At 37.6% G+C, this 20768-nt stretch overlaps 2 protein-coding genes across 3 annotated transcripts in view; both read left to right on the forward strand.

Moving 5' to 3' along the window:
- MMP26 (matrix metallopeptidase 26) overlaps nt 1-20768 on the forward strand; it is a 287646-nt gene that overhangs the window by 103253 nt on the left and 163625 nt on the right. The gene's annotated exons all lie outside the window — the stretch shown is intronic.
- Nucleotides 13285-14420, forward strand: OR51F2 (olfactory receptor family 51 subfamily F member 2). Its single transcript, NM_001004753.2, has one exon. It carries the CDS (start codon nt 13386-13388, stop codon nt 14376-14378), a length of 993 nt encoding a protein of 330 aa, NP_001004753.2. The 5' UTR covers nt 13285-13385; the 3' UTR covers nt 14379-14420.

A 20768-nucleotide genomic window follows, 5' to 3' on the forward strand; every position in this document is an offset into this window, starting at 1 on the left:
CTCAAGTGACCAGCCAGCCTTGGCCTCCCGAAGTGCTGGAATTAAAGACATATGCCACTATGCCCAGCCCAAATTTTATTGTTTCTAACTCACACAAAACCTCTGCATCCTCCTATAACAATGAGAAAACAGAGTTCAGACTAGTTATGTGATCTGCACAAGATCACACAGCAACTAAGTATCGAGGTGCATGACTTTGCAGCCAGTGCTCTTGGTGGTACCCATGCTGCCTGTGCTAGATAACAATTCAGACTCCTGCCCAGGTTGGGGAAAGCAGAGTTTGCTGTCCTATCATGACAAAGGCAAACATGAAGGGGGTGTGCACAACTGCATGCTGAATTAGAGGAAGATCTGAACTTGGACCCAGGATCCCTGCTACTTCACTGGACTGGAGCCTCTAGCACAGTCTCCAGCTTGGCCTCCTGGTACTCTGGGTGTGTGCTGATTTCTCGGGGAGGACATCTTTAATGTATTCTGCCCATGAGCCTTAATGGAGAACTCTCCTGTTCTGCACCCTCCTTAGGAAGTGATGAGTTTCTCCTCAGCCATGTTTCAGCTACCTGTATTCTATAGCCCCTTTACAAACCAGTTTCTGTCTTCCCATTCACTCATACTTCTGACTCCCCAGTAGGCTTTTCACAGGGCAGAGCTTCCCCATGAAGTTATGTCTCTCAGCCTTCCTCATTCCATTCTGCTTGCTCTGCTTTTCTGCTCTCAGATTTTCTTTTTTTTTTTTTGGTGGACAATGGAGGAGCAGGGCTGCCCTGGTATCCAAGACTGAATTGAGAGATGGGGACTGTTGACAGGTGCCTCCCTTTCTTCTCTCCATTTTCCTCTGCTGACCTACGGAATCTAGTGCCGTCACTGTCAGTGATTCCCTTATCTTCCTTTTCTCACAGACTTATGAACATAACACAGGCAGACTTAATGCTTCAAGGCATGTGGAGTGGACATGGAATTAACCAATACTTAGCCATTTTTGTCCAGCATGTGAGGTTTTCAACATAGGAAGCACAGGTTGTCAGCTTGCTGCTGTGTTGAGAAATGGAATGTACATTCTCTAAAAGGTAGGAAAAGAAAGAACCATATAATTTCTCTTCTTCCCTAGTACTTCTTTCTCCCCAACACTGCTTTTAAATCTGTTCCCCTCCACAGGCTAGAATTCTTATGAACATAGTACATACTGAAAGTTGACATGAAATCATGTCATTTTCAAACACTATAACTAAGGACATAACACGTTTAACGTCAGATTTAATTTTTCTGTTTCCCAAAATAAAATCAACTTGTAAAACCTCCATGTAGGGTTTTGTTATATAAATGTGGTTACAAGAACTGTATTATCACACTGAGTGGAGCTCAGTTTTCACCTGTCAGACTGGGTTTGATTCCAACTATAACACCCACTGGCTCTGTTGGATTTCAATGATCTCACCCATTATGTGAGAATAGTTAAGTTCATCAGTCAGCTGTGTTGCTCAAGCCAGTGAGGGAATAGAAGATAAAATCAACTGAGAGATTTTGCTAAGGAATAGCTTCTAGGAAGCTGTTTTTTCACTTTGAGGTATCTGAAAATAAGGCATAGAGCAATAATGCTGGAGCAGTGTGGGGTTCAGAGCCACCTCTTATGGAAATGTTGTGTGTGGAGGCAGTATTCCTACCTTTCTCAGGTCTCCCTGGAGGACACAGTGGAAGCACTGAGTCTTCTCCCATTCTTAGAATGAAGATCAGTAGTCTTGGATCTGTAGACCTGAAGCTCCCATTGAGTTAGGCCATTGCATTGGCCTTCCTGCTTCTGGGAGCTCTATGACTCCTAATGCTTTCTGTGATGGGCAGAGGTGCCTGAAGTACAGATGATCACTCACCCAGACCTCTACTCTGTCTTTAACCAAGCATGGCATGGCCAGAAGGAGTTCTGAAATTCAGCCTTTGGCAGAGACCTCAGATCAAGGCATATTTAAAGGGTTATGTCTGGACGTTTCCGACCTTTAAGTATTAGTTTTCTCACTCCCCTGATTTCCAGTGCCTCACATGCACACTGGCTTCCTTCTGAGACTGGAGACTAGAGCTTGAAGCATTAACCCATCCCTTTCCTCTCTCCTCTGTATACAGAAGTAGGAAGGCAGGGGATTTGAATGCTTGTGCAAAAAAGGTGTGTTGTTGAGATTGTATGAATGTGATTTTATCTGTATGCATGTATTTTTTTTTTTAGTCGGAGTACATATATTTATAATTCAGGGGATATTTTGTACAATATGAAACTGCTGATATGTAAGTCGAGTCGATGTGTGTATCTGAGAGATATGTTAATAAACACATGTATAAGGCACTGAATTTGCATATAAGAGGAGTATTTGTGTGAATAAGCGTAAGTGTATATCAAATTATGAATCATAATTTGCTTTAAGTATGTATCATTAGTGTGCTACCATCATGCTATGAGTTCAAGGTTATTGAATACACACATTCTGTGAAGGCACATGCCTAGCTACATACCTGGCAGTGTGAGTTTGCACATAGAGTGTGTACATGAGTATGTATATACAAGGAGTGTGGGGTTAATGAGGATGTTGAGCATCGATTAGAGTATCAGTGTTTACTAAGGTAGCTGTGGTTGTGAGACCCCTCACCTCTGAGTGCGTGATTATCCAGATAGGTGAAAAGAATTCCAAAGAAGACCATGCCATAGTCAGTTCTGAAACTTTGTTAGGCCGGAAGGCCCTCTTCACTCAATCTGAACAGTGAAGGCCTACACAGAGCTTCCTCTGTTTCAGTACCGAATCCAGATTTTTAAATCTAATGTTTTTAATCTAAACACTGAGGAAGATTTGAGAAAGGAAAACATATAAGCATGCAAAGAACGATTTGTTTGCGAGGAGTGCAATCTGTCAGACTAGAACAAAATACAAAGTGCAACATACATTTACATGGATACAATTACCAAGGTTATCAGGTTTACATCAATATGTATATGATAGATGGTAATGATCAAGGTCACAAAGGTCATCATTTTTCATCTATCAGCCTACAAAATCAGAAGTACCATTTTCTGTTGTAGAGAGTCCAGGTATACAGGAAATATTCAAAATATTATTTTGGAGATCAGGCTGACATTGTACATTGGAATTTCTGGCTTCAAATTATTTTTCTTTTTCTTTTAATGTTTCCTTTCAACTTTTATTTTAGATTCAGGGAGTACCTATGCCAGTTTGTTACAGGGCAAATTGCATGTCACAGGGGTTTGGTGTACCGATTATTTTATCACCTAGTTGTTAAGTACAGTACTCAATAGGTAGTTTTTTATCCTCACCTTCAATCCAACCTCCACGCTCAAGTAGGTCCCAGTGTCTGTTGTTCCCTTCTTTGTGTCCATGTGTACACAATGTTTAGCTTTCACTTGTAAATGAGAACATGTGGTATTTGGTTTTCTGTTCCTGCTTTAAGTTAATTTGCTTAGGATAATGGCCTCTCATTCCATCCATGTTGCTGCAAAATACATGATTTCATTCTTTGCAAATCATTTTTCTTTATTTCTTTTTGTTGTTTATTTCCTTTATCTTCGGTATGTGACGTTCTTAGTATATTGGAAGCAGAATAAAATTCAGGTCCCTCTGCCTTCTTTTTCTTCCTGCTTTTTTAGGGGCACTTTTCTCTTTCAACAGAATATGACATCCAGGATAGGACCTGTGGTGTTTCATTTCTGACTCTTCCACAGTCCCAAATGCCACTTGACTCTAAGCAGGCATGACCCGGGCTCTTGTGGAAAGCATTTATCAGACTACCCACACTACTTTTTAAGTTTAGTAGGGGATTTCAAGGTGAAAGGAGTATATAGTAGAAATGTCAGAATTTTTCTGATTGATCTTCCCAGAGGCCCCTCATCATTTGAGTCTTTCCAAAACTGGTACCTCTCCAGGATGCACTGAGGACTCTAAATGTGGCTCACAGCTGTTTGTCGAAGCCCAGTTTCCACTGGAATGTACCAAGATTTCTGGGCAGTTTTGAGAGCCCAATAAAGGTTGGTTACGATAAACTTATAGTCACGCCAATCTGCAATTGCAGGGTTACAAAGGCAGGGCAGAAAGGATGTTTAGAAAGAAACTTTTGTTGGAAAAAAAGGTTTTTGGGGATATTGACATGAGAATTCTGAGACAATTCAGCATATCTATGTAGAAATATGTTGGTGTGTGTATATATATATGTATATGTATATGTGTAATATATGTGTATATGTAGTATATAATATGTAACATAAATATTACATAGACATATATAATGCATTTGTACTATATAAAGAGATAGACATGTGAAACTGAAGAAAATGACTGAGGCAAGTCTCGATCCATTTAGAGGTTTATGTTGCCAAGGTTGAGGTGACATGCCTAGGGAAGACAGACAGCCACAGTAGAACGCGTGGCCTGTACTTTTTCTGAAGAGGATTTTGAGGGCTTCAATGATTCAAGGGGAAAAGTAGGCAGAAAGGAGAAGGGGAAAGAAAAAAAGAGGTAGGATATGATCACATTCTTGTGAGGCTTTGATTAGGCTACCGAATCCAGTATGTTGCAGGTGCAAAGGGTTGGATAGAGGGAACAATCTATGTATTTATTTCACACTCATTAAATCGCACTTGACATAAGATACGCATAGAGTAGAGGAAGCAGTCAAATAAGTATTTGTTTCAGGGTGGATGGGGGGATGATTTCTAGTTTCCTCTTAACATGGACCTGTGAAGACAGGCTGTTAATTTACATTGTCAGGGTGAGGGAGGCCTTCTGTGGAGACATATAGCCTTCTTTCTGTAACTATGTTTAGAAACAAAAGGAAAGGCAGATGTGTGTGTGTGTAATTTAGCTTCTGGGCTTAACTTTTTCCTTTTGGCATAGTAAATTTGGCATCCTGAGATTTTCTTTTTTTTTTCCACAGATATTTTATGTATATATTTATATGTATGTATATGTGCGAGTGTGTGTGTGTGTATGTATATATATATATATATGGGAGTCCTGGAAAATGAATATACCAATAAGTACATTTTAATCCATTGTTCAAACTTCGCTATCTGGGTTCAAGAGATTCTCCTGCCTCAGCCTCCCAAGTAGCTGGGATTACAGGTGCCTGCCACCATGTTAATCTATTATTTTATGTCATCATTTATAAATAGTTATACGTTGTATGCACCAGTGGACTTTTAAATAGTTTTAATGAAATTGTTTATCTAGACACTTACCCTAAAGATGGCCTTGTATTTATGGAAAAATAGATCAATACATTATTGAAAAATTGATAAAGAAACCGGAAATAGCTTTAAATGTATCAGTAATTGATTTTCCTTTTTTCCTTTCTTTCTATTTATTTATTTATTTATTTTTTAGAGATGGGGTCTTGCTATGTTGCCCAGCTGGGCTGCTCTCAAACTCCTGGGCTCAAGCTATCCACCGCCTTGGCTTCCCAAAGTGCTAGGATTACAGGCAGGAGCCACCACACACTGCCAGTAATCAATTTTCAATAGATGAATCAATTCTATTCAGTGACAGAACAATGTTTTTATGGTGCTAGAACAATTAGAAATCAGTATGAAAAAAACAAAGTGAAACTCACCTTCTACCTCAAAGTAAAATATCTTTATTTGAGGTATAAAATAAACCTAAATTTGAAAGCTAAAGCTATAGAGCTTCTTTAAAAAGTACAGTAATATTTTTATGAACTCAGGGAAAGCAGATTTCTTATACAGGACACAAAAGTCATTAGCCACAATATAAAAGAAGATCAACAATTGATCTTCATTAAAATAAAAAAAAATCTCCTTCAAAAGAGACCAATACAAAAGTGAAAAGTCAAGTCACAGAGAAAACATTCACAATGCATATATCTGACAAAGAGAGCCCCGTAATCCATAAAAAGGAAAACCAACTCATGAAAAATACAAGCAAAGGGTTTAAACAGGCCGTGTACAGCAAGAGGTAGACAAAGGGTCAATGCGCATATGAAAAGGTTTATTATTATTATTCAACATTATTATTCATTAGGTAAATGAAAGTTTAAACTGTAACAATTTAACAATATAAACTAATTAGAAAAGCTAAAATTAAGTGCACTGACAACACTAAGTATTGGTAAAAATGAGGAGCAATTGGAGCACTCATAAGTTGAATCTCTTGCAATTTCTAGTAAAACTAGACCTCCTTTTGAGCGAGCAATTTCACTTTTAGTTGCATACTCCAAATAAATGGTTTATACATCCACCAAAAACGTCTAAAGATGCTTATAGCAGCTGTATTCATAATACCTAAAATGTGGAAACAACCCAAATATCTGTCAATCAAAGATTAAACAAAATTGGCCTCACTTAAGCAATAGAATACTACTCATCAAGAATAAAAAAGAATGAAGAACTGAAAAAAAGTAAATATAGAATAGTAGTGTGGAAGTATGAAGCGCTTCATAAAGAGTAGATAAAGAGCAGAATCTAATGCTTTAATATAATTTGGAGAAAGATGACCTACAAAAAGAGCCCAGTAAAAATCGTTTCGGTCTACACAGACTTAACAGTGAATTGGTGAGATTTTCAAACAGTTTCTACAAACCAGGTTGTGTTCCAAGGGTTATTATGCTCTAAGTAGTTTTTTTCTGAGCATTTTAAAGGGTTAATCTAATACAGTGGATAAAACTACTGGCTCTGTAGCCAGCAAGGAGAGCTAGTAATCTCATCCACCGTATTAATAAACCAACCCTTAATAATGTTCTCTAAACATTAATAAAAATGTTTAGAGAAAATTAGAGCATAGTAATTCTGCATATAGTTGTGAACCAAAAGTATCTGAGACAGGTCTCAATCAATTTAGAAAATTTATTTTGCCAAGGTTAAGAACGCACCCGTGGCACAGCTTCAGGAGGTCCTGACGACTTGTGCCCAACAGAGTCAGGGTACAGCTTGCTTTTATACATTTTAGGAAGGCATGAGACATCAATCAATAAGTTTAAGATATACATTTTTTTCAGTCTGGAAAGGCAGGACAACTCAAAGCAGGAGCTTCCAGGTAATAGGAAGATAAGAGACAAAAGTTGCATTCTTTTGATCAACCTTTCACTAAATACACAATTTACACGTGAGGGGGTGGGTAGAGAAGTAGTCACTTATGCCTTAGTCTGGCTCAGTGACTGCGTTTTTACATAAACAGTAGGGCAGAGGAAGCAATCAGATGTGCATTTGTCTCAGGTGAGCAAAGGGATGGCTTCCAGTTCTGTTCTTTTTTCCACACCTGTGAAGATAAGCTATCAATTTTCATTGCCAGGGTGAAATTCGGCATCACTGTTTTAGGGTAAAGATCTTGAGGCCCACGAAGAATTTCCTTGTGGGCAAATTGAGAGGCAGGTATGTAGCTTTTTATACTTAGTAGCTAACTTTTATAGGAATAAAATGGGAGGCAGGTTTACCTGACACAGTTCCCAGCTTGACTTTTTCTTTTGGCTTAGTGATTTTGGAGTCTTTAGATTTATTTATTTTTCATATAGTCAGCACAGCAATGAAGTATAACAAAAAAAAAAAGAAAGAAATTTTAGACAGGGAACACAGCAAATTTATCATTTATGTACTTTTTTTGGAATGAAAAATCCTGGAATATATGCTTCAGCAAGTGAAATTGGTATACAGTAAAGTTCAACAAATGATAACCAAGTATGAATTAAAACTACTTATGGATGCTATGTAAAATAATCCCAGGAATACAACAATCCGACATGCCTCAAGAAATGCAGAACATATTAGAACGTTGCACAAAATATGGCCTCAGACAGGAGTGATGTCAGAAATTTAGAATTCAGGCTCCATTTCAGTCCTAATGAGTCAGAATTTTCATTTTAACAAGATCTTGAGGATATTTACGTGTTCACTCAATTTTACAAGCATTTAATTTTCCTTATCAACAAATAACTATAATTTGAGATCTTTCTACTCTTTTTGATGTAGGCATTTATTGCTATAAACGTCCCTCCCATACCGCTTTTGCTGTCCCATAGGTATTTGTATATTGTACTTCCATTTTCATTTGTCTAAATAAATTGTTTAATTTCTCTGTTGATTTTTTATCAACCTGTTGGTTGTTCAGGAAGATGTTGTTTAATTTCCATGTGTTTGTATTTTCCACGGTTTCTTTATATTGATTTCTAGTTTTGTACTATTGTTTTCAGAAATAATACTTGATACGATTTTGATCTTCTCAAATTAGTTAAGACTCGTTCTGTGGCCTAACAGATGATCTATCCTGGAGAATGTTTCATATGCAATCTAGAAGAATATGTATTCTGTAGCTGCTGGATGAAATGTCCGTCAGGTCCATTTGGTGTAGAGCGTAATTTAAATCCAAGGTTTCTTTATTGGTTTTCTGTCTGGGTGATTTGTTCATTGCTGAAAGTAGGATGTTGAAGTCCTCTACTATTATTGTTGCAGTACCTCTCTTTAAGTCATTTGTGAGATAATTAAAAAAAAAAGCTTTTCTTTATCCTGCTATCAGACAAAACGAAAGATAATTTAAATTCCAGAGACAACATAAAAGTTCTTCCAGAAAACTATGGTCCAAAACAAAAAAAAATTGATATGATTATGGGCAACTGAATTAGTATGAAAGGAAATAATTGATTTTCTTTTGATGAATGGGTGCCTTCTTTTTTTTTTTTTTTTTTTTTTTTGAAATAGAGTCTCGCTCTATTGCCCAGGCTGGAACTCAGTGGCGGGATCTCGGCTCACTGCAAGCTCCGCCTCATGGGTTCACGCCGTTCTCCTGCCTCAGCCTCCCGAGTAGCTGGGACTACAGGCGCCCGCCACCACGCCCGGCTAATTTTTTTTTTTTAATATTTTTAGTAGAAACGTGGTTTCACCATGTTAGCCAGGATGTTCTCGATTTCCTGACCTCGTGATCCACCCGCCTCGGCCTCCCAAAGTGGGGTGCCTTCTTTTGTAGTGGCACGTTTAGTGACATAGGTTGATGTGTCATTATTTTTCTAATCATACCATATATTCTGTATCCCGTGTTGAATAATTATTTAATTATATTTTAATAATTTTTTTGTTGCTTTTGAAGTTCGAATAACCTAAACAAATATAAAATCATAGCTATAAGATTGTATGTACATTTTTATATATGGCCTAGGAAAGTATTATACTATGGGGACTAAATTTGGGAAAGGAGAGGGAAGAGAAGAAGGGAAGTGTAAGGGCATTTGTTCCTTGCACTCTGCATAGCAGGAAGTAGAATCTAAAGTTAATGGAGGTTGGGCATGGTGATTTATGCCTGTAATCCCAGCACTTTGGGAGGCAAAGGCTGGAGGATATCTTGAGCCTAGAAGTTTGAGACCAGCCTGGACAATGTAATGGGGCCCCTTCTCTGCAAAATAAATAAATACATAAAGGTAGGTGTGGTGGTATGCACCTGTAGTCCAAGTTGCTAGGGATGCTGAGGTGGAAGGATTGCTTGGGCCTGGGAGGTCAAGGCTGCAGTGAGCCATGATTCTGCCATTGCACTCCATTCTGGGCAACAGAGTGAGACTGCATCTTAAAAAAGCAAACAAACAAACAAAAATCTACAAAACTTTTTCATATTTTGGGGGAAAAATGGAAAAAATAACATTTATATTCATTTAAAATATTATAAAGATAATGCAATAATTAAAAGGAAGCTGTAAACATATTTGGATCTGCTTCAGTCTAGTGTGAGGAATCTCCTGGGAATTTCTAGTCATTACACCTTGGGTCAAGTCCCAAGGGTCTCTTGGCAACAGGGTTGGGTTATATGCAGGGCTTCTTAGAGAAGGCCAGGTCCAAGAGCCATCTACAAATACACTTGGCTGGAGAGTGAGTAGAAAGGGCACCTCTTCCTCTGTTGGGAGCCAGGTAAGGTATGAGAGCATGAGAAAGAGCAGACCAAGAAGGCAGAGACTGTTGAGGTCTAAACTGGGGGACAAGAGAGAGCAGAAAGGGAGGAATGGGAAGTGGAGAGGCAAGTGCTCAGAGGCAAAGGACTGCAAATCAGGGGTAGAAATACTGGGAAGCAGGGCTCAGAGTGACAGGCTTAGACTAAAGGGTGTAGGAATTAGTGATATATCAGCAAGTAGTTTGCTAACAAATATTTCTTCTGGGCTAGATAAGTTTGAAAAGAAGGAAATAGTCTCTTTTCTTTAACATTGGTAGAACTCAAAAATCAAAACAGTTACTCTTGTTTGCTTTATTGGTAAATATTTTTTCCATCATTACCATTTCTTCTATGCTAGATTTTATTTCTTCAGCTAGTTTGGTGATCGATATTTTCTTATAAAATCATCTATTTTATGTACGTCATCAAACATATTATCATAATTGTGCTTACTAGTCATTATATTTAAAGTTATAGTTCTCTAATCATAGGTTTGTTATTATTTTCATTTTTCATCGTTTTTGTAAAATTTTCTTGACTGTCTTTGAAAAAAAGATTCATTATATTCTTTTTAAATAACTTTGGTTTTATTTTTAACTCATTCATTTGTGCCTTTCATCTTTGTTAATTGCTTCTTTCGATATTTATTTAATTATAATCCCAGCTTCTTAAACTGAGAACTTAGAAGCTTAATATTGTCCATCATTTTTTCCTATATTCTTCAAGCTGTAAGTTGTTTTGGATGTCATCTTGCCTCACAGTTTCTGCTATGTGGTATTGTCATTGTTATTCAGCTTAAAAGACTGTTTTTCTCGTTTATGTGTTTCCGGAATAGAGAAGGTACTTAATAAATGGATGTTGTTATTGCTTTGGAGTCTTTCATTTTATATTATTATATTAATGTGACTATATTAATAAAATACAGTATTAGACTAATTCAATAGTCCAGGTTAGAGAGTGAATACATTTGGAAAAGAGTATTTTGTACTCAGATAAAGACAAGCTGGAAGAATAAAGACAGATATTAGAGGTTGAATAGAAAAGATTGGAAGAGGTGTTGGTTAAAAAATAAGAGAATACAGGATAACTCCTAGATTTCTGATTTAGAAAATTGGGTCATTTTTATGAAAGTTATAGCCTTTATACAGAAAATGGTATAGGAGGAAAAACAGTTATAAGAGAAAATAATCAATTTGGTTTTGAACATAGGAGGTTTTCTTATTTACCCATGAAAAATCTAGATGGAAATGTCCAGAATAAAGTTTTATCTTCAGACATGGAACCTAAACACCAAAACTGGTTTTCAGAAATTCACTTGAAATTTATTATTGTATAGGTGAAATATGAGGCTGTGAAAATGGGGGAGATAATTTTACAAGTGACTTGAGAATAGGCAAAGGAGAGATCTCTGAAGAATGCCAAATATAAGGTTGGAAAACATAAGGTACCCGGGAGAGGGGGGAAAGAAACAAGAAAACTGAAACAGTCAGAGAAAGAGCTGATTAATGGGAGAATATTAAGAGAGACTGGTATCATAAAATAATGAGGGAGAGAAAATTTCCAGAATCATCAACAAAATATGTATTGTTGAAAGAATGAGATGGTCACTGAAATGAGTCGACTGATTTTTTTTTTTTTTTTTTTTTTTTTTTTTTGAGACAGTGTTTCTCTCTGTCACTCAGGCTGGAGTACAGTGACACATTCATGACTCACTGCAATCTTGACTTCTGAGCTCAAGAAATTCTCCTACTTCAGCTTACCCAGTAGTTGGGACCTACAGACATGTACCACCATGCCTGGCTAATTTGTAAACGTTTTTGTAGAGATGGGGTTTCCCTATGTTACCCATGCTGGTCTTGAACTCCTGGGCTCAAGTGATCCTCCCGCCTCGACCTCCCAAAGTGTTGGGATAACAGGCATGAACCCTGTGCCTGGCCTCAACTGAATTTGATGGTTCCATTTTGGTGTTATTTTCCATAGTGGATATAGCCTGGATACCTGATTTTCTTGGCCCTTTGCATACAGGAACTATCGATATTAAGACTACTTTCCAGAGAAGCCTAAAGAGCTTCATATCTCCACAGTTCACATGGAATTAACATTTGACACATCAAACTCCCCTCCAAAGATACCACACGGACCATAGTATGTCTCTTTAAAATCATACACCTGGAGCCTTTGTCAGACTGGTTTAGAAATTCCTTTTATGCATTCCTCAGCTTTACTGAGTGAAGGCATTGAGGTTAGATATGCAGGTTTCATCCTCATTTCTTCTACTGCCTAACTGCATAATTTGGGGCAAATTACTTAATGTAAATATCAGTTTCTTCATATGTATATTAGGGATAAGAAATTTATTTTCTTTGTTGAATAATAATGATTGGATCATATTATGGATATGAAGATAATTGTGTCTGGCATATGGCACATGTTCAAGAAATGCTGGCTATTGTGTTTTTTTTATTTTGATACTAGTCTGTGGTATTATTTATCATAGTGTAGTGCTTAATTTATTGTAGTAAAATTATGGTAAGGTTTGCTTTTTTCCTCCATTCCTTCCCTTTCTTCCTTCCCTTCTTTCTCACTCCCTCCCTTCTTCCTCTTATTCCTCCTCCTCCTCTTGCACTTTCCTCCTCTTCCCCTTTGTGCTCTTACCTGCCTCCACCTTCACTAGTCTTTCTCTTTCTCCTCCTTCTTCTCCTCCTCCTCTGTCATCGTTGTCTCTCTCCTTTCTCCAACTTTCTTACTTTTGTGGTTTCTCTCAACATTTAGGCAGTGCTTTATAAAGATAACATTGGGTGATTAATTGCTGAGTCTTAGCTTGCTCATCTGCAAAATTCGTGTACGATCTATCTCCAAGAGTTGGTGTATGGATGAAATTATATAATGCATATAAAATGTCAACAACACAGGGAACTCCCAACAAATGCGATCAATATTTATTTTTCTTAGGGTGTTTTTTTGGGCCACCCTATTACCACATATATGGGCCTGTGTGTCCCAGGGATTTTTTGGCATTCTTCTGGATATTTTCCAAGGAAATATAATAATATTCACATTTCAGATATGACTTAGTTTGCTCAGTGTTTTATTCCAGAATCAAAATTTATTTTCAACAAGTACTGGAAAGCAGGTTTCTCATAATATTGTTTAGGAATTTTACTGGGGATTTATATTGGCAGACGTGACTTAATTGTAATGTTTATTGCTAGTAATGAGAATTATAGGCTTAATATACTTAAGAAAATTTGATGTGGCACAGTTCAGGGAATTCACTTTTCTCAATAAATGTGAAACACTGACAGACTTGGAGAGAAATGTGTAGCTCTGGGAAGCTAAAAAGAAAATTCAAGTTCTTTGAAAATTAGAAATAATAACTCAGTGAATCTTGAAGTGCCAGAGAGATGTTACAAGTGATAAACTATGTATTATGTGTTATGTTAAATGACTGAAACATCCCTGTCTTCTCAGTGCTTCCCTATGTCGGTCCTCAATAATACCATTGCTGAGCCTCTGATCTTCCTCCTGATGGGCATTCCAGGCCTGAAAGCCACCCAGTACTGGATCTCCATCCCTTTTTGTCTCCTATATGTTGTTGCCGTCTCTGGAAATAGCATGATCCTGTTTGTGGTCCTCTGTGAACGGAGCCTCCATAAGCCTATGTACTATTTCCTCTCTATGCTTTCAGCCACAGACCTGAGCTTGTCCCTGTGTACACTTTCTACTACCCTTGGTGTCTTCTGGTTTGAAGCCCGAGAAATCAACCTAAATGCCTGCATTGCCCAGATGTTCTTTCTACACGGATTTACTTTCATGGAGTCTGGGGTTCTACTGGCCATGGCCTTTGATCGTTTTGTGGCCATCTGTTACCCACTGAGATACACTACCATCCTTACCAATGCCCGAATTGCCAAGATTGGGATGAGCATGTTGATAAGAAATGTTGCCGTCATGTTGCCAGTCATGCTCTTTGTCAAGAGGTTGTCCTTCTGCAGTTCTATGGTCCTTTCACATTCTTACTGCTACCATGTTGATCTCATCCAACTCTCCTGCACAGACAATAGGATCAACAGCATCCTTGGTCTGTTTGCGCTTTTGTCCACTACAGGGTTTGACTGCCCTTGCATCCTGCTCTCCTATATCCTGATCATTCGATCTGTCCTCAGCATTGCTTCCTCAGAAGAGAGGCGGAAAGCCTTCAACACCTGCACATCCCACATCAGTGCTGTTTCCATCTTCTACCTCCCTCTCATCAGTTTGTCTCTTGTCCATCGCTATGGCCATTCAGCACCTCCATTTGTCCACATCATCATGGCCAATGTCTTTCTGCTAATCCCTCCTGTGCTCAACCCTATTATTTACAGTGTAAAGATTAAGCAGATTCAAAAGGCCATTATCAAGGTCTTAATTCAGAAGCACTCCAAATCTAATCATCAGCTATTTCTGATTAGAGATAAAGCCATTTATGAATAAGTGCTTTGCTACAATGGAGTAATTGTCCCAAAGTGCCCACACATGCCTCCAACAGTCCAAACTAAGCAATTTATAGGTTATGTGACATTTATTTAGTCAATTTCTTTGTCAATAAATTCATGTCATTGCCAACTAAATTATGATTTTGTTTTCAATATGAAGTGAAGAAACATATATAAACAACTAATTATATTTGTAAGCAGTATGAAAGCTACATAAAGTATTAATTCAGGCTCTGTATACAATTATAAAAGTTCACATTTAATGTGAGAAACTTTCTAAATAAGTCAGTTGTTATTTTCTGAATGACACACAGAAAACACTTTAATTAGTTTCTTTTCTTGAAATTCTTGATTATATATGCGATTCCAAAATAGAGATTCTATAGGGTGGATCCTAAAATACACATCAATGTAATTCCACATTGGGTCTTATCTAGATGGAATTATTTTGCCCTTTATTATGTGCAGGGGCTACCTAATGTAAATACAAGATACCATATTATGTGCTCAGCATCAGTTACTGCTGCTGTTAGCTGAAGAGTTAAAAGTTGGTAATTACATTGTTAACATTCTAGGAGTAAGGATAACACTATTTTTCATTTTTTTTTAAACCAAGATTTATCTTGGTGTAAGAGAATCTGTACTTTTGGCTCATATTTATCTCTATCCCTGATTTTATGGTTTCATTTATGGGCTCACTGGACTAGCAATGGCAGAGCAAAGGCTGGCTGATATCAACGTATAGATACTTTATAGCTGGTTGTTGAGTCCCTCCTCTGAAGTGAATACTCTGTAGTGAATATTAACATAAGACACAGAGCTTTTCATCCTTTGTGTGTGCTTCAATAGCACATCACATGCAGACTTTCTTACATCTCTTCTAACAAAGTTGCTAGTTCCATCTGTTGACAAATTATCCAAGCCTTTTAGCAAAGTCCTAGTCCATGTATATCCACAGACTTCAGACAACTTCTCCCCCAAACAACATTAACAACCAAGAGTACTACTCACAACTCTGCCCTTTGGAAATGTTTTCCTTCACCACTCTCCTTTATGCCATCAAAGGTAGGGCTATTGTGCCACTGCACACAATTTTTGGTTAGCATCAACTTGTCTACCAGTCTATTCATGAACTAAGCCTGAGTATTTTCCTCCTTTTCCAGAAACTTAACGAAATCCCCCATGAGGCCATGGATGTGAATTAATGCCGAGACATCCATACAACAGTGACAAGTGTCATAGGATTCTGGGCCAACTATTCACATAAATTATTTGTGCTTTTTGACCTTGTCCATCATTATCCCTACAATAATTGCTCAAATGTCTCAGATAGCATAACAACGTAAGAGTTTTTCCTGTTGCTAAGTATATTATCCTCAATTATGTGATTAAGCATCTGAAGAATAACCACAAGTAAAGCCGAAAAATTATTGGGCTGACTATGAGATAAACGTTGTTCATAACTCCATTAATCACTCTCAATAATCTTATAAGTTAACCAAAAGAGAGCATGATGATATGTTTGAGTGAACAAACTCTTTAAGAACTCTTAGATATAACCTTAGATAACCTATATATAAGAGTCCTTAAAGAGTTGGGTATTCTTTGTTTAATGAACAGTTACATTTGTAAATGACCTTAGACTGTTTGGGGGGAAATCTGGATAATTTTTATTACATACTGGTAGTAGCATTGTGGGACACTTTGTGGGGGAGACCAAGACTCATATTCAATTAATGGGTACTGTATACATGAAGTGACTTAAATATTTAAACAGGTTAAGGGATCATGACTTCCCATCATATGGCTGATGTCAGCCTGGTGCTGAGAAGTTCTCTATTGCAAATGTATGCTGGGTACATCCTAGAAGACTGTTCATTTAGCTCGTCTCCAGGAAGACTATCATATATTGCAACATATCAGTGTGGGTCCCATCACTCTGACAGCCATTCTAGCCTTTCTATCCTCTATAAAAATTATACACACTTATACGATTTTTAAGTACTGCCATGTGGTCTCAGAATTCCTTCATTCTCATTGTTAATAGGAAGCCCATTTCCACAGAAGCATCTTTCATTGTTATGTGTAGCCTACAGAGTACGGCAACTGCTGACCTTTGAAATGAACCAGACTTCCTCTTACAAATGCATTCTTTGTTGCCTCTGTGAAGACATTTCTCTTCCCTCATGGAGAAAATAATCATGTGGTAAATTCTCTTGTCCTATAGGATAAATCAATTCTAACATGTCAACTTCCCTGATATTTCTATAGTCCACATTTTACCAAGAATATTTGGCATCTCCACCTAATTTTCTGTGGTCATTATCATATCCAATCTTGAAACAACCGTCTCAGTAGTGCATTAGCACAGTTTCTGGGTATCCTTGATATAATATTGCACCTCTAATCATGGATCAATGCCTTCATGTCAATAAACTTTTCTCTGTTAATTAATATTCATACTACCACATACTTCCACTGCTGCCTGGATCTAACACCTTCAAGATCCACTCTACTCATTTGATTCCGGTTAGTCCAATTAAGTAGGTTCTGCAATGCCTTCAGTAAATAAGCTGTTTTCTCCAAAAATGTTAATAAAAATCCTCTTTTCAGGCTTTGCTGAGACCTGATTGGTTATTATTTTGGGTGCAATGAGAAATGATAGGGCAGTTCTTGTGGAGGAAAGGTATCAGTTGTGAGGCATCACACTCAGGTTTGGTTTGTGTAAGGTCTCCAGACAGTAATAAATGAATTATCTTTGAAAAGTAAGAAGGGATCTGTTTCTTCTGGCATAAAATATTCAAAAGTCTCAAGATTTGAAGACTTATTCACTCAAATGTCAACATTCCAGGAATGAGGATCTCATCATTTTCCCATTACTGTATTTCTAGTCTTTTTCAAGGTTTTTGACTTTATCACAGAAGATCTGTCAAACCTGAGCAGCCTGCCTTGTAGCTCTGCCACCTTTTTAGTGAAATCCTTTGCCTGATTTTTAGAGCTGTATAATCTATGTCTGAATGAGATAAAGGTTTCTGTCAGTGTTCCTACAGAGAACCTTTGATTTTCATGGCATACCCTGCATTGTGAGTTGGATGTCCCAATCTGATTAGCTCTTATTTCAAGATTTCTGAGGCAGATAATAAAATCAGCCCATTCCATAATCTTTAGATGTTTTAGGTAAAAATGGAAGACTAGATTCAGATCCATAGTTACTATATAAACTAATACCTTACCTTCCACCTGAACTTCATCCAGTCAATCACAAATGAGTGTGTTAGTAATTGTGATGCCATTGAATTTCAAGGATTATTGTCAGCCTTCTGACTGCTAGCAACCAGATTTTGTTATCAATTGAGCATGTTAATGATAATGTGCTTCCAGGGACCATGAATGAGGAACAACTGAAGTTAAAGAAGGAGAAAGAATAAGATGATAGAAAACACCTCATTGAGTTTGATGCTGCGTTAATCAGGGTTCAATCAAAAGACAGAAATCATACAATAATTTTAACAGGAAAAATTTAATTTAGAGAATTATTAACAAGGAGCTAAAATAGTGGAGAAATTAGCTTGTTAAAGAGAGTTATAAAGAATTCAGTAGAAACAGCTATAAGGGGCAACCATTACCCCAAGCACTGGGATAAAGCACCTAAGGAGGATTCCTTCCCTTGCACTAGGCTGGTGAACTCACAAAAGGGCCTTATCAGTGAGGTTTTCCATAAATCTGCCCTCTGATAGTTGCAGGAAAGGCCTTCCGTAAGAAGGTGCCAAGCCCCAGAACTCTCTAAGTGCAAGGGAAACTGCTGATTATTGGGCGTTGCTGTACCTGGGAGCTGGAAAGACTGTTCTTTCTAGGAGTATAATGCGTTTCCATGTGTGGCTGTACCTGGGGTGGCTCCAGCCCACCTTCTCTGGATAAGTTGAGTGACTACCTTGCTAGAAGACTAGTCCCATGGGGCCCCTGATGTGCACACAGATATTCAGGGCTAAGGAGAAGATATAGAAGAAGCTATCTCAGCTTCAGTGCTGGCCTATTATGCCTATGGTTCCAGGTTATGCCATTGTTGTTTCAGTGGAGAGCTGGAGAACAAGCTCAGTGGTGAAATGCTGAAGAAAGCTATGCACTGCTGGAACTGAGCCCTGGAGGAACCACACAGAGCCAAGCAATAAAGAAAAATCATGATTTGTAGGAGTCTGGTTGGCAAACCACAATAAAACCAGGAAGAGAAAAACCTCTTCTTCTCCTTTCAGTGTGCCTCCACTACCCTCTACTGACAAATCTTAACATTGTACCAGCTAGCAAAACATTATAAGGCCCAACATCTTCATCACAGAGCAGGTAAAAAGGAATTTGGAGGTTGAGAAATGGCATATCAATAATAATCCAGATACCATTATGGGTGACTATTGCCTAATCCTACAGGGCCACCTCTGAAGCCTTATCAAATACGTCTCGGGATACTCAACCCAGGAAAATAAAAAGACAGAAACAGTTAATCCATTGGATCCTTTTTCCCATTGCTGAAAGTCTACCTCATGAATCCTTAATTTCCCCCTATTTCTGGGTTGTACATGCATGGATACCAAGTGAGTACATGTAGATATTTCATCATTCAGTGTCAGTCTTGGGGCAAGAAACAAGAGGTACATGGCACGCGCCTAGGTTGAGAGGTTTTCAGATTCTTCCTGCGAAAAGCCAGCCAATGACTAAATGAGTCTGATTGCTGTAACAGTGATTGGAAAATGAGGCTAAAAGATTTGCGGTGATGCACTAGAAGCAGCGAATTCACAGGGTCAACTGATGTTCTATCCTGGAGAGCTTGTAGGTTCACAGAAAATGCAGTCACCTCAGAATGAGGTATGAGCCATTTCTTCTGCTGTACTGAAAATCTATCCTTGATCTTTTTTGTTATTGTTTTTGGTGCAAGTTCTGTTATTTAATCCTGTAAAGTCAATTAAAATGATATGCTTACCAACTTGTTTCCTTTTTTTAAAAACTCCAAATAGAGAAGAAAAATGATCCTGAAAAAGGTATCCAGGGGCCAAGTCTTTTAGAAAGTATGGGGATAGCTCCAGGGCAATGGAGAAAGTGCTATGAGCACATAAAGTATACAGAAGTGGTCTCAGGAAGGCTGCTGAGAGAAAAATGCTTTTGCAGGGAATATTTATTATTTCTAAGTTTACACCCTTTTATGTTAAAATGGTGATATTAATAATAATATTGTTATTATTTATTGTTGTTAACAATAAATAAAAAGGAGAAGTAAGGGAAAGCAGAAATGGAGGAGGAAGAGCTAGGGTAGCAAGTCAAATCAGAGAAAAAAATAGAAGAAAGATAATAGATTTTATTTCATCTTTTTCCTAAAAATTACCTAAATTTAGCCTTTCCAAGATGAGAGTTCTAATTGTTTTTCTCCCTAAAAAAAAAAACACAACACAACAAAGACAAACTTGTAATTTTTATCATAGTTCTAGTTGCTTTTTTGACCTGGTGACCCTGTAGCCTTTTCTGGATCTGGAGACCAATTAATTTTCCACTCAAAATGATGTAGATACATGTCAGGAACTAATAGAAGGATGTGCCATAAGGCAAACATGAGCCATATAAATTCCATTATGATTGTGGACTGATGCTGGAAAAAATACATCAACATTAGAAACTTGCACTCCTTTTGGTAATACTCTAGTTAAAATATACATTTTTCTGAATGTGAAAAATCAAATTGAATTATGTCTCCTATCTGTGTATAAGAATAGGAATGTGAGGAAGCAGTGCTCCTCGTTTTTTGAAGCCATTGTAGACTGAAGAGGTGCTCTTCATTACCTGCTAAAAACTGCTCTAGGTTTAGGCTCAAGGTTTTCTGGAAGTTTACCTCTAAAAGTTTCTGAAAGCTTTTTATATTGATTATCCTACTCACTGACGATCCATAGTTGTCCTCTGAGCTATAAGCTCAATAAAAGCAATGCATCTATTTTGGTCATCTGTGTTTCTCAGTAGCTGGACACAATGCATTGTTCATAATAGGTCATCAAGAAATACACATCAAATAAATGAATGATGATGGCAATAGATATGCTGTTTGTGGTAGGTAACATAAGAATTGATGGGGAAAGGAATAAAATTTACTTGTACTATCTATTTTAGAAAGCGGGGGGAGATTTTTTATTATCAGAAAAGGTATTTTCCTAATGGGTGGAGGTTTGAATAAAGATTAAAGTTTGAATGAACACAACCGTTTAGGGTTATCTTCTCTAATTAGGATAATCTAACTAGGTCTGCAATGCTCTCTTGGTTCGACACTTATGTGCTTCTTTTCTAGGCCTTAATTATATTTTCATGACAGCTGCAATTTGCCAGAGCAATAAGTTGAGAAACTAGGCTGGATATT

The sequence above is a fragment of the Homo sapiens genome, chromosome 11 (assembly GCF_000001405.40).
Source record: "Homo sapiens chromosome 11, GRCh38.p14 Primary Assembly".
Classification (NCBI taxonomy): Eukaryota; Metazoa; Chordata; class Mammalia; order Primates; family Hominidae; genus Homo; species Homo sapiens.